This window comes from Homo sapiens, chromosome 14 (assembly GCF_000001405.40).
Source record: "Homo sapiens chromosome 14, GRCh38.p14 Primary Assembly".
Taxonomy (NCBI): Eukaryota; Metazoa; Chordata; class Mammalia; order Primates; family Hominidae; genus Homo; species Homo sapiens.
In genome coordinates this window covers 71,868,615-71,896,186 of record NC_000014.9, presented here as the reverse complement: position 1 = coordinate 71,896,186, position 27,572 = coordinate 71,868,615, and the positions used below count along the sequence as shown (strand labels likewise).

The window sequence follows — 27,572 nt, the reverse complement described above, 5'->3', positions numbered from 1 at the left end:
AATTATTTCTTGCTTGAGATCCAAGAACGCTCTCTTGGGGTCTGCATCTGGACCCCTTTCCTGTAACACTTTCTAGAAAATTTACAGTGCTGGATCTTCTATTTGCCCCTCCATCTCCACTCCCCACCCTTCTCCACCCCACTGGGACCTGGAAGCTGGCCTGCACGGACTGCACCCCTGGGCTCCCTGGCCTTCCAGCTTCTGTTGGGTTTGGCCAGATTAGAAGCACCAGCAGGAGACTGGAAATCAAAGAGTAGGAGGAGAGTGAGGTTGGGTATGCATCTCCTCGCTCTCTCTGAGCAGAAATGCCATGGGTTGGTGAGAGCCCTCTACTGCAAGACTCAGCTCCTGGCAGGGAGCGCCTGCCATGGAGCCCTGTTCTTTGGGTTCTAGCACCAGCTCCCTTCTCTTGCCCTTCAGGCCAAGGAATACTAATGGCTCCCACTGTTGCTAGCCCTAAGGACTGCACTACACCTGGTTAGTATCCCCATACTCTGCACACAGCATAACAAGCAGTCCCTTTATTCAACTGTCTTCTCATTGCCCATTAAGACTGAGCCATCTGCTCCCTACCAGGATCCTGATTAACACATCAAGCAGCTGATCATCAACACTGGGAGTTGCTTAACAACCTTTGACCAGTCTCCCAGGATATCTAATGATCTTTACCTAGACATTCTCTTAAAAAATATACAGTCGAGGCTGGTTGTGGTGGCTCATGCCTGTAATCCCAGCACTTTGGGAGTCTGAGGCGGGCAGATCACTTGAGGTCAGGAGTTTGAGACCAGTCTGGCCAACATGGTGAAACCCTGTCTCTACTAAAAATAAAAAAAAAATTAGCTGGGTGTGGTGATGGGCGCCTATAATCCCAGCTACCCAGGAGGCTGAGGCAGGAGAATCACTTGAACCCAGGGATCAGAGGTTGTAGTGAACCAAGATCACGCCACTGCATTCCTGTTTGGGTGACAGAGTGAGACTCCATCTCAAAACAAACAAACAAAAAACAGTCTAATAGTGATTATCTAACTACCTTTTTTTCCCCTAAAAAATCTGTATTAAGAAATATCTAAGTTAGTTTGCCCATAAGCCTCCTCCCTGGCAGCAAATTTGAAAAGTACCTTTGGGCTGGGTGCAGTGGCTCACGCCTGTAATCCCAGCACTTTGGGAGGCCTAGGCAGGCAGATCACCTGAGGTCGGGAGTTCAAGACCAGCCTGACCAACATGGAGAAACCCTGTCTCTACTAAAAATACAAAATTAGCTGGGCGTGGTGGCTCGTGCCTGTAATCCCAGCTGAGATCACACCATTGCACTCCAGCCTGGGCAACAAGAGTGAAGTTCCATCTCAAAAAAAAATAAAAAAAGGAAAATACCTTTGATATATGCTTGCAATTAATCTACCTGAGAAGTTACTTTAACAATACAGACACAAAAACAGTCATATATTCTATTCTGTAAACTCAATGAAGTCCTAGTTTTCTGTCCTTTTAGGTACTGGGATAGTATCTTTCCTGAAAAGTTCACTCAAAACTGTGATCTTGTCACAGGAAAGGGGATCCAAAGCAAACCCCAAGAGAAAGTTCTTGGTTCTCACGCAAGAAAGAATTCAGGGCGAGTCCTTAGTGCAAAGCAAAGGCAAGTTTATTAAGAAAGTAAAGTGGTGAAAGGACAGCTGCTCCATAGACAGAGTAGGGTGTTCCCGAAAGTAAGAGGAGGCACGCATCCACCCTCGGTGCAATCCTTGTATATATGGGGACATGTGCTCTGCTACAAGGGTTTGTGATAAAGAATTACTTTTCTTAATTACTATACTTTGCAAGAATTGATATTACTATCTTTAAAGCAAAATTAGGAATGTCTTTGTTCTCCAGATATTGGGATATCTGGATGCTCCCAAGTCTGGGTCAGTTTAGTAACCACTATTAATTTGTTCCTTTAATCGTAAACATCGAGAGGCGAGGAATGCCTGACTTTCTGAGAAGGCAGCCCAGCAAGTCTCAGCCTCATTTTCCTAGCCCTCACTCAAAATGGAGTCGCTCTGGTTTGAACGCCTCTGACAATCGGAGGGACAAAACAGATGCCTCTATATCAACTAAGATGAATCCTAAAATTAAAGAAACAAAATTACCTATGGGTCAAAGGTCCAGGACCTGGCTCACATGAAAAATTTCTAAATTCTTATGGCAGTAAGAAAAAACACACTTTTATTAAACTCCCTAGCAAAAGGAGCTTTCAGACCCCTCCTAAGTCTGATTTACTACTCAGATCACAACTCTGACTGGACAGAGGATCAGCCTTACACACCTTCTTTTCTGATAAACAACTGTGTGCCTTAAGCCAATTTCAGCCAACTGCGCACAAATTGTCTTTGTGTCCTATAGTTCACTTTTTGACTTAAAGGGCCAAATTCCCCCTCATTTTAAAGCTAAAACACCACCCCAAAATGAACGTGTGATGTATGGTACATATGTATTTATCCAATGCACATGTGCTTGGCTCCCCTTATAAATATGTACAGCTCTTCCCCAAAATCCTACTGTGTAATACAAACTCTGTGAGGCATGAAACCCAATCTGTCCCTTCCCTCCTTGAGAAGAGGGTACCTTCAGCCCATGCCAGATAATATCTCCTCCCAGGTTGCAAACTGATATCACCAATAAAACTCTCCTTTCTACTATTTAGCATGGTGGTCTTTTGATGACAAAGCAAATGTGGTAATATTCTAGAGTCAGGATTCAGCTACCAAGCCAAAGCAGGGTCACAAAAATCCTCCAATCAGCATCTGAGCACAGGGTAAGTTTGAGATCAAAATCCTAGAGAGAAGGTAATGGCCCTGCAGAATCCTTATATCCTGTTTATGTAAAGGTGAGAATACTCAAACAATATTTTAAGCAAATCCACACATTTAAAGACCCTCATTTCATCAGTGACAAAATTCTTGATCAAACCCTCTAATGCAAGTCAGAGATGGGGAATCCTGAAGTCCCTCTAGTTGTACTTGCCTCTGGAGTACAGACCTTGTTTAGAACTTTCAAATGCTACCTAGCCATCCCTTTAGTGTATAATTCCTGATTAGAGTACATAAATATTAACTAACTGCCTCTAAAGTACAGATAAAAACCAACTAATAAAGATTTTACAATGTCTATATTGTAAAATGTGAACGTTTTAAAAGTAAATTACAGAGACTAAAACAGATAAATGCCCTTAGGCAGATCGCTGCCGTCCCATGAAGCTGGCTTGGGCCATCTCTTCATCTACATATAGAGCACATGATTATTATCTCGTTACACTATTCCTGTAAGGCAAAACTACATGTAAAACATTAACATAAAGTCACCATGAAAAGCCGTAAAATGCCATTGTACTTTATAGAAACCACATTACATTTGTAATTACCTAATAATCCATTATACTAAATAAACTGCATTTAATTTTAAGAAACGATTCATCATTTATTAAATAACCCCACTGTAGTCTCAGTGGCATGGTATTCCTTCTCCATTTACCATTTCTTTTTGCTCAGGATAACAGTTTAAGTAGTTTGTAAATCAAAGCCCACATCCTTGGAAGAGCTCGGTGTGAAATGCTCACCAAGGTTATACTGTGACCTGTGCTCTTGATCTGCACAACTGCCTCATAGGAGACAAAACAACTCTTGCATCCTTACTCAAGTATTAGGAGGTGGTGCCATCCATTCTGCCAGTCTCAGTTCATTCATTATTAAGCAGCTCATATGAGCATCCTGTTGAGGCTGACCTGTGAAGCCTGGAAAGGAAAACCTAAGGTGTTTGTAGGAAGGCCGTATCCATCTTGCTGAAGATTATGGGCAATTATCCAATTTTTAAAACAAGGAAGGATCTGTTTTTGGGAGGCCTACCTACTGGTGGCTAATTGCTTGAAAATGTTAGACAAAATACAATTTCTCAGGCGGTGAGCCACCTCCCAGTAGATTTCCTCTTCTAAAGTGGATCCAACCCATGACAGTTGCTTCCAAAAAACTGCCTGTAGTGTTTTGTTGTGAAGGAATTTCATTGTATTGTTTGAAAGAGAAGGGCAATTAGGTGCCATTAAGGTGAAAAACACAGAGACTCTTCACTGAAATGGTATGTATTATAATGAGATTCATGTGTAATGAAGTCATGTGAAAGCTATTTCAGAGAATGAGCTATTATATTAAAATCTCTACTTTGTAAGAAATATAAAAATAACATTTCATGACAGACATTCTACATGCAAATTAGGACTCTGTTAACTGATTAGAGCTAAATCTGCTAGGAAGTGCTTAAAAATAGGGAAGAGACACCTAAGGTGATTTGTCCAAGCAGATAGAAAGAAAAGGGGGAAAAATACAAGGAGGTGCTGGGAAGAAGCCAGAGAAGACAGTCTGCTAAGTGGATATCCAGATACTAACAGAGTTAAACATGCACTTTGTAAGAATCCCTAGAGAGTGCTCAGAGAGATCTTAAGGCTGACTGTATAGGACTGTAGCGGTTTGGGTTTTGTTGTTTTAATAGCTGCAAATCATCTGATGCTTCTCCCATCAAATGTGGGGTCTCTCCCTCCTCCCCTTGAGGGTGGGTGGGCCTGTGATTGCTTCAACCAACACCATCCATGTGACTTCTGAAGCTTTTAGCTTCCATTTAGTTTTGTTAGGATGTTTGTTCTCAGAGAAGCCAGTTGCCATGTAAGAAATCAGGATACCACCTGCTGGACCACCGTGGCTAAGACCACCCTGCTGGAGAGGCCAAGTGTAGGTGCCCTTGTCAATAGTCCCAGCTGAGCTCCTCGCCAACAGCCAGCATCAACTGCCAGCCATGGGAGGAGCCACCTTGTTTCTGCAGTCCAGGGGGACCTTCAGATGACCGTAGCTCCCGCAGACACCTGACGGCAACTAAGGGAGAGGCACCCAGTGAGAACCACCCAGTCGAGCCCTTCCCAAATTCCTGGCCCTGGGGTAATTGTGTTATATCAATGCTAACCAGAACAAGGACCAATTCATTGACCTACAGGAGATCTGGGTGAGAATTTTACAAACTACAATATTCTATGAACTGCATTAAGCAAGCTTTAAAAAAATTAGACTGGGAAACTGTTGGCAGGTTCTGGCAAACAGTCTTAATAACTGTGGAGCCTTTTCTTTACAGATCTAGAGAAATACCCCTGTCCCCCAGACATCACAGAGAACTGAACTAAATCACCCCTTCACTCTAGAATCTGTTTTCTCACATTTCATTTTCCCAGAAGTCCCACTGAGTACTAAAATGTTTCCTCAAAAAGTGTCAGTTTGAGATGTAAAAAGAAAATGTTTATTTAAAAGTACTGCATTCTGCTGTTTTTAATCCCAAGCTGAATGGAGTCCTTCTTAGTTGCTCCTGAGCTAAATCCTTTTCACTAATAATAGTTTTATTCTTAAAGGTTTCAGTAGCTCTGAATCAAATTCTGTTGTGACTCATGCGATGTGTGGGTAGCAGCTAAAGACTTTCAAGAAGGGTAAGTTACTACAGAGGAAACATCCCAAATGATTTTGAAAAATAAATTGTAACAGTTATAAAACATCCATGGCAGAATCTGCAGGCAGCCCTAGAATTAACTGTGCTGAGGATTAGCAGCAGGTAAATGGTTAGAAAGGGAATAAACTGGAAAAATAACCTTTGGAAGAGTGGGTTGGAACAAAGGTCTATGCTCATCAAAAGCATCTGACAGTTGGCCTAACAGGAAGACAGGTGCCATAGAATGAGGGGTTAGGAGAGCTGAAGTACCGGCAGATGCTAGCTCAGCCTCTAGACAAGATTTCTCTCTCTCTCTCTCTCTCTCTCTCTCTCTCTCTGTCTTATGCACACGCACACACACAGCAAACTATCTAAGAGCCATAAAATCAGACTAATCCTACCGGCTGTCATTCTTCAGGTGGACCTCTCCTGCACTGATTTTACCTTCCACGTAGCATTAAAATGACACAAAATGAGTCAGGCTGACCAAATCTTTGATCTGCTCAAGGCAGAAACTTGGTGTGTTAGTCTGTTCACACATCGCTGTAAAGAAATACCAGAGACTGAGCAATCTGTAAAGAAAAGAGTTTTAACTGACTCACGGTTCTGCAGGCTATACAGAAAGAATGGTGGCATCCACTTCTGGGGGGGCCTCAGAGAGCTTCCAATCATGGCAGAAGGCAAAGTAGGAGCAGACCGTCTTAGGTTAGTGCACAAGTAATCACAGTTTTTGCCATTACTTTTAATGGCATCCAACTAATATATGGCAGGAGAAGGAGCAAGAAAGAGAGAGAGAGAGGAGGTGCTACACACTTTTAAACAACTAGATCTTAGGAGAACTCACTCAGCATCATGAGAATAGTGCCAAGGGGATGGCGTTAAACCATTCGTGAGACGCCTGCCCCCAAGATCCAGTCACCTCCCACCAGGCCCCACCTCCAACACTGAGGATTATAATACAACCTAAGATTTTGTGGGGACACAGATCATATCACTTGGCAAAACAACAACATAGAAAAGTTATCACCAGCCTCTTGCTTTTCCTTTCTGTACCTTACGCCCTGCAAAGTGCGTGCCCCAAGCTCTCCCCCAACTCAATTATCCCCTCTCTGACGAAGCAGTTGGTGTGACCCACTCAGTGAAGTGTCCTTATTAAGGGAGAGTTTCCACAACAGGACTTTTTCCAACTCCCCTTCTCCACCCTCCAGTTTCCCATTCTGTGAGTCCTAAAATCCCCCTTCGCTGACTCTCCATTGCATTTAGGGAAAAAAATCCACACTCCATTTCTCAGTATTTAAGAATATTCACAATTTAAGATCCTTATAGCTACATTTCTCACTCTTTTCTTCTCCAGACAAAGGCAGATATTCACTGCTTCTTCCTCGGTTGCTGTTGGTCACCATGTACTTCCCCGCAATCATATTTCTGTCTGTGCCTTGCCCCCAACCCAGAACGCCCTTCCTCCTACGTCAAACACACCAAAGTCCACCTTTATTTCAAGGCCCAGATCAAATCTGCCTACCTCCATGACATGTTCTCCTCTCCCCTGGACCACAGAGATCCTGCCCGCCTCTGAATTCTCCACCAATCATTTGGCCCTTACTCACACTGTGTCATTATTCATTTGTTTAGATTTTTCTTTCTCAATGGAAGGCCATGACAATATCATGCATCTTTGGTATCTCCAGTGAACCATGCCCAATCCTCAGCTTGTGTTAGATGACAATAATGCTATAGTTAAGAGACACCCTACATCAAAAACTCCTGACTTCATGCTCTTTTCAGGGATCCAATACATTTCAGTGTTTTATTGTAGTTTTCAATGATGTGATAATGCTTAAGAATAACACTAAGGATATATTTTTTAGCTCCTCAGCAACCCAAATGGAGAAGATATATTGAGTCAGCTCAGCTGACTCTTTAGACCAATGTAGGTCCTCTTGAACCTACTTGTTCCCATCATAGTCTGTATGTGCCTGTAATGAGGACAGAAGGCTGTGTACTTTCTCAAATTCCCTTGACCACCTATTTTTTTTTTTCTCTTGAATGAAATCCTACCTATGCCAAGCCACCCTTCTTCCACTGATGGACTTAGATAAAACACCCAGTCTCAGAGCATGAGATGTGACCAACCCAAGCAGGCCAGCTGACACAACCTGAAAGGGGAAAGAGGTTTGTTTCCTGTGGGATGAGCCTCAATCAATAGGAAGCAGGAGGGAGCAAGGCAGATAAATTCCCCCTTCTCTTTTTCTTCTTCTTCTTCTTTTTTTTTTTTTTTGAGACAGAGCTTTTGCTGTGTTGCCCAGGCTGGCATGCAATGACAGGGTCTCGGCTCACTGCAACCTCCACCTCCTGGGTTCAAGCAATTCTCCTGCCTTGTAGCTGGGATTACAGGTGCCCACCACCACACCTGGCTAATTTTTGTATTTTGTTTGTTTGTTTTGTTTTATTTTTGAGATGGAGTTTCACTCTTTTGCCCAGGCTGGAGTGCAGTGGCGCGATCTCAGCTCACTGCAACCTTCACCTTCCAGTTTCAAGTGATTCTCCTGCCTCAGTATTGGGGGAACCCACCCCCAATATTTCAACGTAGGTTCTTTCTATTTTCCATAAGTGTTGGCCAGCTGAGAAATAAAGAGAGACAGTATAAAGAGAGGAATTTTACAGCTGGGCCGCCGGGGGTGACGTCACATATCGGTAGGACCGTGATGCCCGCTTGAGTCTCAGACCAGCAAGTTTTTATTAAGGGTTTCAAAAGGGGAAGGGGTGTAAGAACAGTGAGTAGGTACAAAGATCACATGTTTCAAAGGGCAAAAAGCAGAACTACTAGTAAGGGTCTAACAAAGATCACATGCTTCTGAGGGAACAGGACAAAGGGCAAAAACAGAACTACTGATAAGGGTCCAACAAAGATCACAAGGCAAAGGGCAAAAACAGAACCACTGATAAGGGTCTATGTTCAGCAGTGCACACATTGTCTTGACAAACATCTTAAACAACAGAAAACAGGGTTTGAGAGCAGAGAACTGGTCTGACCACAAATTTACCAGGGCGGAGTTTTTCCCCACCCTAGTAAGCCTGAAGGTACTGCAGGAGACCAGGGCGTATCTCAGTCCTTATCTCAACTGCATAAAACAGACATTCCCAGAGCAGCCATTTATAGACCTCCCCCCAGGAATGCATTCCTTTCCCAGGGTATTAATATTAATATTCCTTGCTAGGAAAAGAATTTAGGGATATCTCTCCTACTTGCACGTCCACTTATAGGCTCTCTGCAAGAAGAAAAATATGGCTCTTTTTGCCTGACCCTGCAGGCAGTGTGACCTTATGGTTGTCTTCCCTTGTTCCCTAAAAATCGCTGTTATTCTGTTCTTTTACAAGGTGCGCTGACTTCATATTGTTCAAATACACATATTTTACAATCAATTTGTACAGTTAACACAATTATCACAGTGGTCCTGAGGTGACGTACATCCTCAGCTTACAAAGATAACAGGATTAAGAAATTAAAGTAAAGACAGGCATAAGAAATTATAAAAGTATTACTTGGGAACTGATAAACGTCCATGAAATCTTCACAATTTACGTTCCTCTGCTGCAGCTCCAGCTGGTCCCTCCGTTTGGGGTCCCTGACTTCCCGCAACACCTCAGCCTCCCAAGTAGCTAGGATTACAGGTGCCCACCAACATGCCTGACTAATTTTTGTATTTTTAGTAGAGATGGGGTTTCACCATGTTGGCCAGGCTGATCTTGAACTCCTGACCTCGTGATCCACCCGCCTCGGCCTCCCAAAGTACTGGGATTACAGGCGTGAGCCAACAGTTCTCAGCATCTCTTGCATTGAGGTGTCCCCGAGACTATGTTCTGGCAAAAGGTGGTATTAATATATGCAGGAAGAGCAATCTCTAACTGATATGCCCTTCCATAAGCCCTGGATTTCTTTCAAAACTTTGTCAAGATATACCTAGCAGCCTTCAAGTTATACCTAAATTATTTGCCTCCAAAACAAACCAACCAAATTAAAGATATACCTTGCAAACATGCAGTTCACCAAAATTACATGCTGATTGCTTTCATTTTCTACTAGGCTCTAACTGCTACAAAGGTGGGAGCTATGTTGGTCTTGTCCACTGCCTTAACCTCAGTGCCTAACTTCTGCCTGGTGTATGTATCCAAATACACCTTAGACAGAAGACTACTAAACGAAAAAACTCAAACACTGTATTACTGCTTACTTGGATTATCCATGATTAGAACACAACTCACTCATATATTCATTCATTCAGTCAGTCAATATTAATTGATTGCCTACTGTGCAATGTGCACAGTGACGTTAATTGAAGATCCTGCCAGGAATAAAACAAAGATGCTACTCTCAATGAGCTTACCTTTTAATGGGAGAGACAGACAATCAACTCTTAAACAGTAAGAGTTTCAGACAGTGATAAGTGTGATAAGGATGAAGCTACTTTACCTGGAGTGTTCCAAAAAGGCAATATTTAGGCTGAATTCACTGTCATCATATCAACAGGCCTCAACCTTAATCACTTCAGTCCAAAAATTTAAGTTCTGAGAACTAATTGTTTTCTAATGACAAGCAAGGGATGATATGATCAATTTCCCTTATTCAGATTTGGGATTACACGCATTTCTGAATAAAATAAAAGGAAGGGAAGCAAGGGAGAGAAGGAAAGGGAAGGGAATGGAGGGGAAGGGAAGGAGAGGGAAGGGAGGGAGAAAAAGAAAGAGAAAAAAGAGAAGGAGAGTGGGAGGGAGGGAAAGAAGAAAGAAGGAAAGAAGGAAGGAAGGAAGGAAAGAAAGAATTTTATCTCACTAGTATTAAACAGCTTTCCACTAGTATTAAACAGAGAGAGACACTATATGGGTGAAAGAGAAGGCCAAAGGACAGGGTCTTCTCTAAAAGTAGAGACAGCATTGGAAAGAATTGCTAGTATCCACAAGAACAGCCTTCCAACTTTCCTGTGTTCCAAAGAATGCACTGAACGCTGTATTATTAATTTTGCAGCCCTTGTTTATGTTTTAGACTCTCCAACAGCCTCAATCTTTATTCCTCAGATCCTCCTGGGGCTCTTTGATGTGATTCCTGAGCTCCCAAGTGAGCCCTCATCACATCCTAGGAGAACCACGGAGACATTCCCTTCATGCTCTGACCTCTCTCCACCACTCCAGCTCCACAAACAAAGCAAGCTGCCCTTTGAGAATTGGCTCTCCTAAGAGTTGAAGTGAAGAATACTTTTAATTTTTCAAATCCAGAGAGGGCTGTAATACTGCCCAGCTCAGGAATGCTAGAAATTAATGTCACATGTCTTTATACCATGAGTTAGCTTGGCAAATTTTGAAAGGAAAAAATGTTTTTAACTTGGCTATGTCGATGGAGTAGAAATGTTTGGTTTCCGTTTATTTTCTTCAGTGTTGTTTGTTTTCTTTAGTGTCGACGGAGTAGAAATGTTTAGGTTTTGTTTGTTTTGTTTAGTGTTGATTAAATGAAAATTTGTTTATAATTTAAATACCCTTGTCTCTTTCTGTAGGTGGGTTGGAAGAATGGACAGGGTTCAAGAGGGTAAAGGAAGCGTGGGTGAAGGCCTTCTCAGCCCAGCTGAGGGATATGCTAAGGGATGGCAATAGTATTGGACAGAAAGCTGCTACATTTGCAGTGCTGTCAGTTTCCAGAAAATGGGGATGGTGGAGGTCAGGACTAGCATGAGGCAAATGAGGCATTCAGGGCACAAAATTTCAGGAGGCAAAAAATTTAAGGAGGTGCTCAGGTGCCTGCCCTTATACCACAGGGAACGAAAGGGCCTCCTTAAATTGTATGCTCCAGGGCCCACTCTTACTGCATCCTAGTGCCTAGTTCTGGCCCCAGGGAAATGAGTTCTATTAGGATTTCAAGAAAGTCTGTGGATCCAGACATCAATTCTCTTAGTCATGACAAATGGGCATGCAAAGGTGGAAAACAGGATTGGTGAAGAGTTGACAGATTTACCACTAAAAAGGAATAGACCTCATTTTCCTGGCTAAGAAGAACAAAGTGTGTCTTGGCTTAGAAGACAGGATCACTTTCCCGAGACAAAAAGAGGTACAAGTTATAAAATCCACCCTTGACTCTTCTCCCTCTTACTCATGCTATTCTCCCTTTTCCACACCCAGCCCACTGCCAAATTAAAATAATAAACATGTAAAGTTCTAAAATGAACTGAAGTAGGGAAAATAGGTCTGAACTTTGTTGGGAGCTAGAAAAACCTCTATACCCCCCAACTCCAAATAACCTCACTTCCTCTTCAGCACTCCACTGACAAGCTCTTGAGGCTTAAGACACTTTGTGCTTTCTTCTTTACCTCTTCGTGTAAGGATTTGTATTTCTCTGGCTGGACTGTCAGCTCCTTAAGGGCAGAGACCATCTCTCCTTTGCCCACATTCTATCATGACACAGCGGAGTCCCTGGCTCGCAGGAGGTGTTGTTGTACAAGATCTAAAGCTCTTTGGATAGGGAAACAACACAACGACACTGGGAGAGATGAAGGCAGAACTCCTAGGAAAGCTGTTACTGGAAAGGGGTCCCAAACCAGATGCTAAGAGAGGGTTCTCGGATCTCACACAAGAAAGAATTTGAGGCAAATCCATAGAGTAAAGTGAAAGCAAGTTTATTAAGAAAGAAAAGGAATAAAGAATGGCTACTCCATAGGCAGAGCACCAGCTTGGGCTGCTGGACTAAGGATACTTATAGTTATTTCTTGATGATATGCTAAACAGGGGGTGGATTATTCATGAGTTTTCCAGGAAAGGAGGATGGGGGCAATTCTCAAAACCTAGGATACTTCCCCATTTTAGACCACATAGGGTAACTTCCTGACATTGCCAAGGCATCTGTAAACTGTCATGGCACTGGTGGGAGTATCTTTTAGCATGCTAATACATTATAATTAGCATGTGATGAGCAGTGAGGACGACTAGAGGTCACTTTTGTTGCCATCTTTGTTTCAGTGGGTTTTGGCCAGCTTCTTTACTGCAACATGTTTTATCAGCAAGGTCTTTGTGACCTGTATGTTGTGCCAACCTCCTCTCTCATCCTGCGACTTAGAATGCCTCACCTCTTGGGAATGCAGCCCAGTAGGTCTCAGCCTTATAGTACACAGCCCCTACTCAAGATGGAGTCGCTCTGGTTTAGATGCCTCTGACAAAGGCCGGGCCACACTGAGGGTTGTCTAAGGACAGGTAATTTGGAGCTGGAGCTGTAGAGGCAGCTTAGTATAGCAATCAGGGTGGGGTTAGCTAGCTTTCATGGACTTTCTGTGGTTTAGCTAATTTGAATAATTTTGTGGACTCCAGGACATAGGGGCTGTCCCTAACTGTCCCATACCTGGCTCTGGGGCAATTACAGTGGGTGCACAGAGGTCCAGAGTCTGAGAGATGCTGGCAGTGTGAACTGAATCAGCCATTCAAAAAGGGGAACTAGTCGGCCTTTAGCCAGGCCCCCAAACTAGATGAAGATAGCATTTAGAAAAACCAAAAACTACATTACAGATACTTAATAAATATTTTCTGAGTTATCACATTGATTTAAAAAACCTGAAATTCCTTTTTCAGAGTTTACTTAGGCCACAGTTAAGAGGCTTAAAATGTAAATGCCCCTGAAAAAGGAAACACTGACTCGAAATCAGCCTCTCTAGGAAGTCAAGGCTCAGGTAAAAGCCTGGCACAGGAGGAAGTTTTGGGATATGTCATTAACACCCAAACAAGGGTTTCTTGGCTGTTTGACCCAGAACCAGCTCTGGCCTAATGAAAGGCAATTTAGGGGAAACATCTGGTAGGTGAAGGGATAAGCACATCTATATGATATAGTTTTTTGGAAAGCAGAGCAAGATATAAACAAAGATGCAAAAATCATCCTAATTAACATTAAACAGATTTTCTCTTTCTTTCACTCTTTTAAACCTATTAAATATCCTGAAAGGAATTAATTATAACCTTGGATTAGCTTTCTTTTCTCCTGGGCAGAAATCATTTTCATTGCTATTGGGCAAGAACCATTGTAATGCTATCAGTCATGAACGCAACTCAGACAAAGGTAAGCATCCCTAGAAAATCAGATCATTCCCATTAGGATAGACCTGTTCCATTCAACAGCACCTAGCACTTCATTGTAAGGTCATCCAGTAATGTCTTTTGCCTAGTTCCAAGTTCTGCATAATTTTTCTTAACGAACCACATATTTTAAAAGTGCTTTGCAGAAAGCAGGGGCTCAAACAGGTATGCATATACCAATGTTCATAGCAGCACTATTCATGATTGCCAAAAGGGGGAAGCAACCTAAATGCCCACATCAACACATGAATGGATAAACCAAATGCGATATACACATATACACATACAATGGAATATTATTCAGCCATAAAAAGAAATGCAATTCTGACATACACTACAGCACGGATAAAACTTTAGGACATTGTGCTAAGTGAAATAAGCCGGACACAAAAGGACAGATATTACATGATTCCACACATATAAGTTAGCTAGAATAGGTGAATTCATAGAGACAGAAAATAGAAGAGTGGTTACCAGAAGCTGAGAGGGGAAATTAACAGAGTTAAGGAATACAGAATTTCAGTCTGGGATGGCGTAAAAGTTCTGGGGATATATGGTGGAGATGGTTGTGGAACAATGTAGATGTACTTAATGCCACTGAATTGCACACTTAAATGGTTTAAAATGGTAAGTTTTATGTTATGCATATTTTATATACACATAACAGAAAACTTTCAGAGCATAGGCTTCCAATAAAAATAAAGGAAGGAAGGGAGGAGGGAGGAAGAGAAGAAAGACAAACAGACAGAGAGAAAGAAAGACATACTGTCCAATTGTCAGATACACCTTTAGTTTGGGGAATTTATGATTTTTGTCTCCTACATTGTGTCAGCCTCCACACTAAGCAGCTGTATTAGTCCATTCTCACACTGCTGATAAAGACATACCTGAGACTGGGTAATTTATAAAGAAAAAGAGTTTTAATGGACTCACAATTCCACATGGCTAGGGAGGCCTCACAATCATGATGGAAGGTGAAAGGCACGTCTCACATGGTGGCAGACGAGACAGAATGAGAACTGAGGGAATGGGGTTTCCCCTTATAAAGCCATCAGACCTCTTGAGACGTATTCACTACCATGAGAACAGTATGGGGGAAACTGCCCCCATGATTCAATTATCTCCCACCAGGTCCCTCCCACAACATGTGGTAATTATGGGAGCTACAATACAAGATGAGATTTGGGTGGGGACACAGCCAAACCATATCATTTCACCCCAGCCCCTCCCAAATCTCATGTTCTCACATTTCACAACCAATCATGCCTTTCCAACAGTCCCCCAAAGTCTTAATTCATTTCAGCATTAACTCAAAAGTCCACAGTCCAAAGTCTGATCTAAGGCAAGGCAAGTCCCTTCTGCCTATGAGCCTGTAAAATCAAATGCAAGTTAGTTACTTCCTAGATGCAAGGGGGGTACAGGCATTGGGTAAATACACCCATTCCAAATGGAATAAATTGGCCAAAATGAAGGGGCTGAAGGTCCCATGCAAGTCTGAAATCCAGTGGGGCAGTCAAATCTTAAAGCTCCAGAATGATCTCTTTTGACTCCATGTCTCACATACAGGTCACACTGATGTAAGAGGTGGGCTCCCACAGTCTTGGGCTGCTCCACCCCTGTGGCTTTGCAGGGTACACCCTCCCTCCCGGCTGCTGTCACAGGCTGGCATTGAGTGTCTATGGCTTTTCCAGGTGCATGGTGCAAGCTGTTGGTGGATCTACCATTCTGGGGTCTGGAGGACAGTGGACCTTTTCTCACAGCTCCACTAGGCAACACCCCAGTGGGGACTCTGTGTGGGGGCTCCAACCCCACATTTCCCTTCCACACAGCCCTAGCAGAGGTTGTCCATGAGGGCCCTGCCCTTGCAGCAAACTTGTTCCTGGACATCCAGGCATTTCCATACATCCTCTGAAATCAAGACAGAGGTTCCCAAACCTCAATTCTTGACTTCTGTGCACTCACAGTCTCAATATCACATGGAAGCAGCCAAGGCTTGGGGCTTACACCCCCTGAAGCCACAGTCTCAGCTCTGTGTTGGCCCCTTTTAGCCACAGTTGGAGTGGCTGAGGCAAGGGGCACCAAGTTCCTAGACTGCACAACAGCAGAGGGATCCTAGGCCTGGCCCACAAAACCACTCTGTCTTCCTAGGCCTCTGAGCCTGTGATAGGAGGGGCTACAGTGAAGACTTCTGACATTCCCTGGAGACATTTTCCCCATTGTCTTGGGGATTAATTTTCAGCTCCTCATTACTAATGCGAATTTCTGCAGCTGGCTTGAATTTCTCTCAGAAATGGGATTTTCTTTTCTACAGCATTGTCAGGCTGCAAATTTCCCAAACTTTTATGCCCTGCTTCCCTTATAAAACTGAATGCCTTTAACAGCACCCAAGTCACCTCTTGAATGCCGTGCTGCTTAGAAATTTCTGCTGCCAGATACCCTAAATCATCTCCCTCAAGTTCAAAGTTCCACAAATCTCTAGGGGAGGGGCAAAATGCCACCAGTCTCTTTGCTAAAACATAACAAGAGCCACCTTTGCTCCAATTCCTAATAAGTTCCTCATCTCCATCTGAGACCACCTCAGCCTGGACTTTATTTCCACATCACTATCAGTATTTTGGCCAAAGCCATTCAACAAGTCGCTAGGAAGTTCCAAACTTTCCCCCTTTTTCCTGTCTTCTTCTGAGTCCTCCAAACTGTTCCTACCTCTGCCTGTTACCCAGTTCCAAAGTTGCTTCCACATTTTTGGATATCTTTACAGCAGCACCCCACTCTACCAGTACCAATTGACTGTATTAGTTGGTTCTCACACTGCTGATAAAGACATAGCCAAGACTGGGTAATTTATAAAGAAAAAGAACTTTAATATACTCACAGTTCCACATGGCTGGGGAGATCTCACAATCATAGTAGAAGGCGAAAGGCACATTTTACATGGCAGCAGACAAGAGAGAATGAGAACCAAGTGAAATGGGTTTCCCCTTATTAAACCATCAGATCTTGTGAGACTTATTCACTACCACGAGAAAAGCATGGGAAAGGCCTGCCTGCATGAGTCAATTACCTCCCACCAGGTCCCTCCCACAACACATGGGAATTATGGGAGCTACAATTCAAGATGAGATTTGGCTGGGGACACAGCCAAACCATATCAGCACCTGTCATTTAATATTCACAACACTATAAGGAGTCATCTTGCTCATATTATAGTTGTTCAGAGAGGTTAAGTCAATTCTCTTAAGCCACACAGTAGAGTCAGTTCTGTCTTTAAAGCTCTTAACCATTTCTCTATATTGCTACTATTATGTCCAGCCAAATCTTCTTTCATTTCTAAATACAGCAAATTTCAGAATTAACTGTTATACCTTCAAGAACTTTCATTTTGTGCTTTCAAAGAGGGCAAATGAAAATAATTTTTTCTATAAATCCATATTGAGTTTTTTTCCTGGTGAGGTCTTACAGCTTAGAATTTTGAATCTTGGGGTTTTTCTTCCCTTTTTGTAAACATCGGGATCAGCATATTGCATGGTTGAGAACCCAGGTAAGGGTGCTGTGGGGGGAAGAAAAAAAAATACACTATGAAGTGAACGATACAGATATCCAGAAACATGAACATATCTGCCCAGTGTGTCTGACTCAATGACATAAAACCACACACAAAAGCAAAAGTTTGGTGGGACTCTAATTGTACATCAGCACCCCTAAAGAAAGGGAGCTATGGCAAGGATGAAACAAACTGCTGGATTTTTGTAAAAACTTACTGATACTGGTAGAGGTTCCAAGATGGCCAAATAGGAACAGCTCCAGTCTACAGCTCCCAGCGTGAGTGATGCAGAGACAGGTGATTTCTGCATTTCCAACTGAGGTACCAAGTTCATCTCACTGGGGCTTGTTGGACAGTGGGTGCAGGACAGTGGGTGCAGCCTGCAGACCATAAGCCAAAGCAGGGCAAGGCATTGCCTCACCCAGGAAGTGCAAGGGGTCAGGGAATTCCCTTTCCTAGCCAAGGGAAGCTGTGACAGACGGCACCTGGAAAATTGGGTCACTCCCACCCTAATACTGCGCTTTTCCAACGGTCTTAGCAAACGGCACAGCAGGAGATTATATCCCGTGCCTGGCTTGGAGGGTCCCACGCCCATGGAGCCTTGCCCACCACTAGCACAGCAGTCTGAGATTGAACTGCAAGGCGGCAGCAGCAAGGCTAGGGGAGGGGTGCCTGCCATTGCTGAGGCTTGAGTGGGTAAACAAAGTGGCCAGGAAGCTTGAACTGGGTGGAGCCCACCGCAGCTAAAGGAGGCCTGCCTGCCTCTGTAGACTCCACCTCTGGTGGCAGGGCATAGCTGAATAAAAGGCATCAGAAACTTCTGCAGACTTAAACGTCCCTGTCTGACAGCTTTGAAGAGAGTAGTCATTCCCCCAGCATGGAGTTTGAGATCTGAGAACATACAGATTGCCTCCTCAAGTGGGTCCCTGGCTCCTGAGTAGCCTAACTGGGAGGCACCTCCCAGTAGGGGCCGACTGACACCTCATACAGCCAGATGCCCCTCTGAGAAGCTTCCAGAGGAACTATCAGGCAGCAACATTTGCTGTTCTGCAATATTTGTGGTTCTGCTGCCTCTGCTGGTGATACCCAGGCAAATAGCGTCTGGAGTGGACCTCCAGCAAACTCCAACAGACCTGCAGCTGAGGGTCCTGACTGTTAGAAGGAAAACTAACAAACAGAAAAGACATCCACACCAAAACCCCATTTGTATGTCACCATCATCAAATGCCAAAGGTAGATAAAACCACAAAGAGGGGGAGAAACCAGAGCAGAAAAGCTGAAAATTCTAAAAATCAGAGTGCTCTTCTCCTCCAAAGGAATGCAGCTTCTTGCCAGCAATGGAACAAAGCTGGATGGAGAACGACTTTGATGAGTTGAGAGAAGAAGGCTTGAGACAATCGGTAATAACAAACTTCTCTGAGCTAAAGGAGGATGTTCAAACCCATGGCAAAGAAGCTAAAAACCTTGAAAAAAGATTAGACGAATGGCTAACTAGAATAAACAGTGTAGAGAAGACCTTAAATAACCTGATAGAGCTGAAAACCATGGCACGAGAACTACATGATGCATGCACAAGCTTCAGTAGTCGATTCAATCAACTGGAAGAAAGGGTATCTGTGATTGAAGATCAAATGAATGAAATGAAGTGAGAAGAGAAGTTTAGAGAAAAGAAGAGTTAAAAGAAATAAACAAAGCCTCCAAGAAATATGGGACTATGTGAAAAGACCAAATCTTCGTCTGATTGGTGTACCTGAAAGTGACGGGGAGAATGGAAACAAGTTGGAAAACACTCTTAAGGATATTATCCAGGAGAACTTCTCCAACCTAGCAAGGCAGGCCAACATTCAAATTCAGGAACTACAGAGAATGCCACAAAGATACTCTTCCAGAAGAGCAACTCCAAGACACATAATTGTCAGATTCATCAAAGTTGAAATGAAGGAAAAAATATTAAGAGCAGCCAGAGACAAAGGTTGGGTTACCCACAAAGGGAAGCCATCAGACTAACAGCGGACCTCTTGGCAGAAACTCTACAAGGTGGAAGAGAGTGGGGGCCAATATTCAACATTCTTAAAGAAAAGAATTTTCAACCCAGAATTTCATATCTAGCCAAACTAAGCTTCATAAGTGAAGGAGAAATAAAATCCTTTACAGACAAGCAAATGCTGAGAGATTTTGTCACCACCAGGCCTGCCCTAAAAGAGCTCCTGAAGGAAGCACTAAAAATGAAAATGAACAATTGGTACCAGCCACTGCAAAAACATACCAAATTGTAAAGACCATCGAGGCTAGGAAGAAACTGCATCTACTAACGAGCAAAATAACCAGCTAATATCATAATGACAGGATCAAATTCACACATAACAATATTAACCTTAAATGTAAATGGGCTAAATGCTCCAATTAAAAGACACAGACTGGCAAATCGGATAAAGAGTCAAGACCCATCAGTGTGCTGTATTCAGGAGACACATCTCATGTGCAGAGACATACATAGGCTCAAAATAAAGGGATGGAGGAAGATCTACCAAGCAAATGGAAAGCAAAAAAAAAAAAAAAAAAAAAAAAAAAAAAAAAAAAAAGCAGCGGTTGCAAACCTAGTCTCTGATAAAACAGATTTTAAACCAACAAAGATCAAAAGAGACAAAGAAGACCATTACATAATGGTAAAGGGATCAATTCAACAAGAAGAGCTAACTATCCTAAATATATATGCACCCAATACAGGAGCATCTGGATTCACAAAGCAAGTCCTTAGAGACCTACAAAGAGACTTAGGCTCCCATACAATAATAATGGGAGACTTTAACACCCCACTGTCAACATTAGACAGATCAATGAGACAGAAAGTTAACAAGGATATCCAGGAATTGAACTCAGCTGTGCACCAAGTGGACCTAATAGACATCTACAGAACTCTCCACCCCAAATCAACAGAATATACATTCTTCTTAGCACCACATCGTACTTATTCCAAAATTGACCACATAGTTGGAAGTAAAGCACTCCTCAGCAAATGTAAAAGAACAGAAATTATAAGAAATTGTCTCTCAGACCACAGTGCAATCAAACTAGAACTCAGGATTAACAAACTCACTCAAAACTGCTCAACTACATGGAAACTGAACAACATGCTCCTGAATGACTACTGGGTACATAATGAGATGAAGGCAGAAATAAAGATGTTCTTTGAAACCAATGAGAACAAAGACACAACATACAAGAATCTCTGGGACACATTTAAAGCAGTGTGTAGAGGGAAATTTATAGCACTAAATGCCCACAAGAGAAAGCAGGAAAGATCTAAAATTGACACCCTAACATCACAATTCAAAGAACTAGAGAAGCAAGAGCAAACACATTCAAAAGCTAGCAGAAGGCAAGAAATAACTAAGATCAGAGCAGAACTGAAGGAGATAGAGACACAAAAAACCCTTCAAAAAATCAATGAATCCAGGAGCTGGTTTTTTGAAATGATCAGCAAAATTGATAGACCGCTAGCAAGACTAATAAAGAAGAAAAGAGAGAAGAATCAAATAGACACAATAAAAAATGATAAAGGGGATATCATCACCGATCCCACAGAAATACAAACTACCATCAGAGAATACTATAAACACCTCTATGCAATTAAACTAGAAAATCTAGAAGAAATGGATAAATTCCCATACACAAACACCCTCCCAAGATTAAATGAGGAAGAAATTGAATCCCTGAATAGAACAATAACAGGATCTGAAATTGAGGCAATAATTAAGAGCCTACCAACCAAAAAAAGTCCAGGACCAGATGGATTCACAGCCAAATTCTACCAGAGGTACAAAGAGGAGCTGGTACCATTCCTTCTGAAACTATTCCAATCAATAGAAAAAGAGGGAATCCTCCCTAATTCATTTTATGAGGCCAGCATCATCCTAATACCAAAGCCTGGTAGAGAGACAACAAAAAAAAGAGAATTTTAGACCAATATCCCTGATGAACATCGATGCAAAAATCCTTAATAAAATACTGGCAAACCGAATCCAGTAGCACATCAAAAAGCTTATCCACCACAATCAAGTGGGCTTCATCCCTGGGATGCAAGGCTGGTTCAACATACGCAAATCAGTAAACGTAATCCATCAGATAAACAGAACCAAAGACAAAAACCACATGATTATCTCAATAGATGCGTAAAAGGCCTTCAACAAAATTCAACAGCCCTTCATGCTAAAAACTTTCAATAAATTAGGTATTGATGGGATGTATCTCAAAATAATAAGAGCTATTTATGACAAACCCACAGCCAATATCATACTGAATGGGCAAAAACTGGAAGCATTCCCTTTGAAAACTGGCACAAGACAGGGATGCCCTCTCTCACCACTCTTATTCAACATAGTGTTGGAAGTTCTAGCCAGGGCAATCAGGCAGGAGAAAGAAATAAAGGGTATTCATTTAGGAAAAGAGGAAGTCAAATTGTCCCTGTTTGCAGATGATATGATTGTACATTTAGAAAATCCCATTTTCTCAGCCCAAAATCTCCTTAAGCTGATAAGCAACTTCAGCAAAGTCTCAGGATACAAAATCAATGTGCAAAAATCACAAGCATTCCTATACACCACCAACAAACAAACAGAGAGCCAAATCATGAGTGAACTCCCATTCACAATTGCTTCAAAGAGAATAAAATACCTAGGAATCCAACTTACAAGGGATGTGAAGGACCTCTTCAAGGAGAACTACAAACCACTGCTCAATGAAATAAAAAAGGACACAAACAAATGGAAGAACATTCCATGCTCATGGATAGGAAGAATCAATATCGTGAAAATGGCCATACTGCCCAAGGTAATTTACAGATTCAATGCCATCCCCATCAAGCTACCAATGACTTTCTTCACAGAATTGGAAAAAACTACTTTAAAGTTCATATGGAACCAAAAAAGAGCCCACATTGCCAAGACACTCCTAAGCAAAAAGAATAAAGCTGGAGGCATCATGCTACCTGACTTCAAACTATACTACAAGGCTACAGTAACCAAAACAGCATGGTGTTGGTACCAAAACAGAGATATAGACCAATGGAACAGAACAGAGCCCTCAGAAATAATACCACACATCTACAACAATCTGATCTTTGACAAACCTGACAAAAAGAAGAAATGGGGAAAGGATTCCCAATTTAATAAATGGTGCTGGGAAAACTGGCTAGCCATATGTAGAAAGCTGAAACGGGATCCCTTCTTTACATCTTAAACAAAAATTAATTCAAGATGGATTAAAGACTTAATTGTCAGACCTAAAACCATAAAAACCCTAGAAGAAAACCTAGGCAATACCATTCAGGACATAGGCATGGGCAAGGACTTCATGACTAAAACACCAAAAGCAGTGGCAACAAAAGCCAAATTGAGAAATGGGATCTAATTAAACTAAACAGTTTCTGCACAGCAAAAGAAACTACCCTCAGAGTGAACAGGCAATATACAGAATGGGAGAAAATTTTTGCAATCTACCCATCTGACAAAGGGCTAATATCCAGAATCTACAGAGAACTTAAACAAATTTACAAGAAAAAATCAAAAAACCCCATCAAAAAGTGGACGAAGGATATGAACAGACACTCCTCAAAAGAAGACATTTATGCAGCCAAAAAACACATGAAAAAATGCTCATCATCACTGGTCATCAGAGAAATGCAAATCAAAACCACAATGAGATACCATCTCACACCAGTTAGAATGGTGATCATTAAAAGGTCAGGAAACAACAGGTGCTGGAGAGGATGTGGAGAAATATGAATGCTTTTACACTGTTTGTGGGACTGTGAACTAGTTTAACCATTGTGGAAGACAGTGTGGCGATTCCTCAAGGATCTAGAACTAGAAATACCATTTGACCCAGCCATCCCATTACTGGATATATACCCAAAGGATTATAAATCATGCTACTATAAAGACACATGCACACGTATGTTTATTGCGGCACTATTCACAATAGCAAAGACTTGAAACCAACCCAAATGTCCATCAATGATAGACTAGATTAAGAAAATGTGGCACATATTCACCATGGAATACTATGCAGCCATAAAAAAGGTTGAGTTCATGTCCTTTGTAGGGTCATGGATGAAGTTGGAAACCATCATTCTGAGCAAACTCTTGGAAGGACAAAAAACCAAACACCGCATGTTCTCACTCATAGGTGGGAATTGAACAGTGAGAACACTTGGACACAGGATGGGGAATATCACACACGGGGCCTGTCGTGGGATGGGGAATGGGAGAGGGATAGCATTAGGAGATATACCCAATGTAAATGACGAGTTAATGGGTGCAGCACACCAACATGGCACATGTATACATATGTAACAAACCTGCATGTTGTGCACATGTACCCTAGAACTTAAAGTATAATAATAAAAAGAAGTATAATTATTCACAAAAAAAACTTACTGATATTGGGTTTTGGAATAGACTGTCTTTATTTACACATACCCCCTCTTCCATTCTTAGAGTTCTATGCAGTTGGAGTATTAGATTTAACATTCTCTTTAAGGAGTTTCCACATGAAAGGGATGACAAGAGACCCAAGTATCCATAGCAGCTAGTGAGCACCTCTCAATCCGGGTTAAGTTCCAAGGGCAGAAAAGACAGCACTGCGTTAAGCTGAGAAGAAAAGGAATCACTCCCCCTTTCCATCCTGATCAGAGTCCCGCCATGCCACATAGATCAGGCAAACCTAGTCCTGGAAACTGTGTACCATAGGCAAGAGGGTAGGAGTGTCAGCAGCAGAAGGAAGCCCTGAGTCACCGAATCAGTTCTTCTTTTATCTGATCCTGTGGATGGAAGTGTAGAAAACTGCTCATTTTTCAGCTTCTCTTAGTGAGACGAACATGAGTTGGTGGCTGAGGAGTTGGGGTGGTATTGTGTTCACTTGTAGTTAGAATTGAATCAACTTCTGTCTAAACCAGGGCCAGAGTCCTGCTGGGTGGCTGCCCACAGCATGCTCCCTGCAAAGTTGTCAAGGAGCAGGGAAGCCTACCTGGCTCCTTCCTCACCTTCCCTCTCATCTCCACCATCCCCTCCACCACCCCCTCCACCCCCATACACATTGAGCTCAAATTCAGTGCTCCAGGAAATCGATGTTGGAGGTTTAGATGTAAGTGGGTGACAGGACACAGTACAGATGCTCAAGGAAAATTCATTCGACAGTAGGGGGCACAGAATGAGCTGGAGAGGAAAAGAATGCTGTTGGCTAGATTCCTTGACACAATAACTCAGGAGTGAGATGACGAAGATCTTGGTCAGGGTAATAGACATGGGAACAGCAAAAAAAGGGAAAGGAAAGAGGGATAGTCTGAACCTGATGGTCATGCCAATGTGGTGGGTGGAGACAAAGGGGTCAGGGAGGACCTCAAGGCACTGGGCTTGCAGGTGACACCTAGGTAACATGAGCATCCATATGGAAAAAATCTACAGTCAGGAATAGAGGCTGGTTTAGGGGAATCCACAAGGTAATATTTAGGGAGTCAGCTTTTTGGGAATTAGCTTTCAAAAGAGGGAAAAAAATCAGATCAAAGAGCTAAAGACCAAACCTTGGGAATACACAGTGTACGTTCTGAGGAGAGAAGGTCCTCAGAGACGAGAGGAAAGAATATGGAAATCATTTGGGGAATAACAATAAGGAGATTTATGTAACCTCGGGAGGCAGTTTGGCTTCTATCAAGCACATGTCTATAGTCTCTGTTGGCCTCTATTTTTTGTGAGTAGAAGATTCTGGAGAAAATGCCCTGGTTTGGGATGTCCCCTCTATTCCTTTTCCTTAGTCATTTTTTGACTGTTTTGATTGCTTTGTCCAACCATTCAAACTACCCTGAACTCACCAAATAGTCCTCACCCCCCAAATAGCAGGTAGAGCCTAGAACAGACCCAAACAAGCTCAGTCTATGGGAACAGGGTCTCAGCGCCAGAAGCTCTACCTGTGCTGTTCCATTCTGTGCCACAAGTCAGCTGGAACCCCTGGGCTGGGGAAAGCTTTGGCTGAACTGTCAAACAGAGGATTTCATTTCTACAATGTTCCCACCTCACTAATGTAATTTTCTCCTCCTCCCAGGAGAACTTGTACACAATCTCTGCCAGCCCCAGAAAGTTCCAAGCCTCTGCACACCTTTTAGAATGACTGGGATGGGAGGCCCAAGGCCTCCTAATAAGGCTCACTTTTCAAGTGAGTCCTCAGCTGGGTGATCACAGTGGACAGTTCTGGAATCCTGGGCCCACACTGGGAGGGAAAAGACCCTGGCAGCTGCCCCTATGCACCTGGTTGTCATCCCTGGCTGCAAATGCCCTCCCTCCAGATGTTCTGAGCCAGGGCCTCCAGGGTGACTACCAGAATCAAACAGTGACAGTAGTTGAGCACCACAGATCTTTGGAAAATCATTTCCCCAGGAACTTTTCCTAGCCTTGGTGTGCTTCCCGTGATACCAAGCCAGTATCACTGTGGAAACGCCTCATTCCTCACTTACAGAGCAGGCACAAGCCCACTAAAACCCTCTTAGCTCTGGATGAATTCTTAGACTCCCCAGACCTCTGTAGCAACAACTCCTTAAATAGTATCCAGGGGCCATATGCAAAATCACACCCTCCTATACCCCAAAACACAACCTCTTCACCTTCCCACCCTCAACAGCACTGGGTATCTCATAAGGAGGTAGTAATGTAAATTAGCCTAACTAAGGCTGAAGACTCTTCCTTTCTATTTTCCTCCTGCTTTCTAGGTGAATCAGACTCATGTAATTGTTATTCTGGCTATTCTGTTTTCTTTAGCCAAATTGCAAAGGAGCTAATCATTGAATGAAAAAAAGAAAAAAGAAAGAAAAAGCTCAGTAGAGATGGTTTTGATTCCTGGTCATACACGATTGGCCACTGTGTGATTACAAAAGAAATTGATTGGGTGATGCCCAAAAGACCTTGGCCTGGAGTTAGACAGTTTAGCCCTTTGGGAAACTACTGTCTTAGTCCATTTTGTGCTGCTATAACAGAATACCTGTGACTGGGTAATTTGTAATGAATAGAAATGTATTGGCTCACAGTTCTGGAGGATGAGAAGTCCAATATCAAGGTGCTGGCATCCAGCAAGCGACTTCTTGCTATGTCATCACAGGGCAGAAAGAGAGAGGGCAAGAGAGTAAAAGGTGATCAGACTCACCCTTTTATAACAACACCAATCCCACTCATGAGGGTGGATCCTCATGGCCTAATTGCATCTTGAAGGTCACACTTCTCAATAATGTCACAACGGCAATTCAATTTCAACACAAGTTTTGAGGGGACAAATATTCAAACCATGGCAACTATATTGTGTCAAGTTTTGATATGCCATCAAGTTTTAGGGTTCAGCAAAAAAGGTTGCCTAATTTAGTTGGCAGAAATTCTATAGCTATAATGGGTTTTCTGTCTTTCAAAATGGATATTTTACTTTCAATTTAGCCCACTGAAGGATAAGTCATTTTCCTTTGTTGGGGAAGCTTGTTAAGTTCAGTTTGAGTCTCAGCAGTGACTGTAGCAACAGTGTTTAGAGAGTAATTTTGTTTCCCCCAATTACTGTCATTTCAACATAATTCCATTTGCAAGGCAAAGGATGGTCTCCCTCCACCTGGGAAAGGTCCCCTGGAATCACAGTCATGGTAGTCACATTGGAGCTGGGGGCTGAGAGCCTTTCTAATTTCACTTTCTTCTGGCAGACAAGTGATCACTTGTTGGTATAATGCAGATAAGAAACCTACTTGCTCATCTCTAGCTGCTAGCATCTTCAGTGCTAACACTCACAAGGTTAAGCCAATTTTAAAGGCGAATCTGGCATAGAACCTAAAATGCAATACTTTGAAAATGCAAGGCAGGTTTTTACACCTGTCCCAGCCCAGCATGACTTCCTCAGAAGCAGAGCTCGAGGCAAAGACTTAGGTGTTATTCCTTATTAAGGAGTACAATCCCAGGGAAGTAAGAGTGAGCAAAAAGAGGGGTGAGGCAGAAAAGGAGGGATGCTTGGTGTCAAGCACAGCTGACTGCTTAATCTCAAAGGCTTAACTTCAGAGGGGTGCTGTATATGGCATCCCAAGGCAGTCTGTCCCTGGAAGAAAGGGGACATCTCTTATTGGTCACAGATTCACTCACAGGGCATGAACTTCCACACTTTGGGGCTGTGCTAGGCACCCTAGAATATCTCACAGTAGAGTTGTGGCTCCCCATCATTAGGAATGCCCCGGGGAGGGGGTGGAAGAAGTGCAGTAGGACGAGAGGCCAAGGGGTTATGGAATTGTGCTCTTCTGAAGTTGACTGGAGTCCTTGAGAAAATGTCCACTGGAGCAGCCCAAGTGGTCGTAGGTCCCAAGGACAGGTGAGACTGAGAGAAATCGAGTGGTTCACTAAAGGTATTTAACACAAAAATGTACCATAAACTG

At 42.7% G+C, this 27,572-nt stretch overlaps 1 protein-coding gene across 1 annotated transcript in view, besides 1 other annotated feature; it reads right to left on the bottom strand.

Moving 5' to 3' along the window:
* The window catches only part of RGS6 (regulator of G protein signaling 6), a 762,695-nt gene that overhangs the window by 733,843 nt on the left and 1,280 nt on the right, over window positions 1-27,572 (bottom strand). Inside the window, exon 2 of the mRNA XM_024449761.2 lies at window positions 26,203-26,261. The gene's annotated coding sequence lies outside the window, so the exon portion shown is untranslated. The remainder of the gene's footprint in view (window positions 1-26,202; window positions 26,262-27,572) is intronic.
* Window positions 311-812: an enhancer, noted in NCBI's record as "NANOG hESC enhancer chr14:72362092-72362593 (GRCh37/hg19 assembly coordinates)". NCBI's record gives its function as "activates a minimal SCP1, AML or CMV promoter by ChIP-STARR-seq in primed H9 embryonic stem cells {active_cell/tissue: H9 hESC(primed)}" and the evidence as "EXISTENCE:reporter gene assay evidence [ECO:0000049][PMID:30033119]".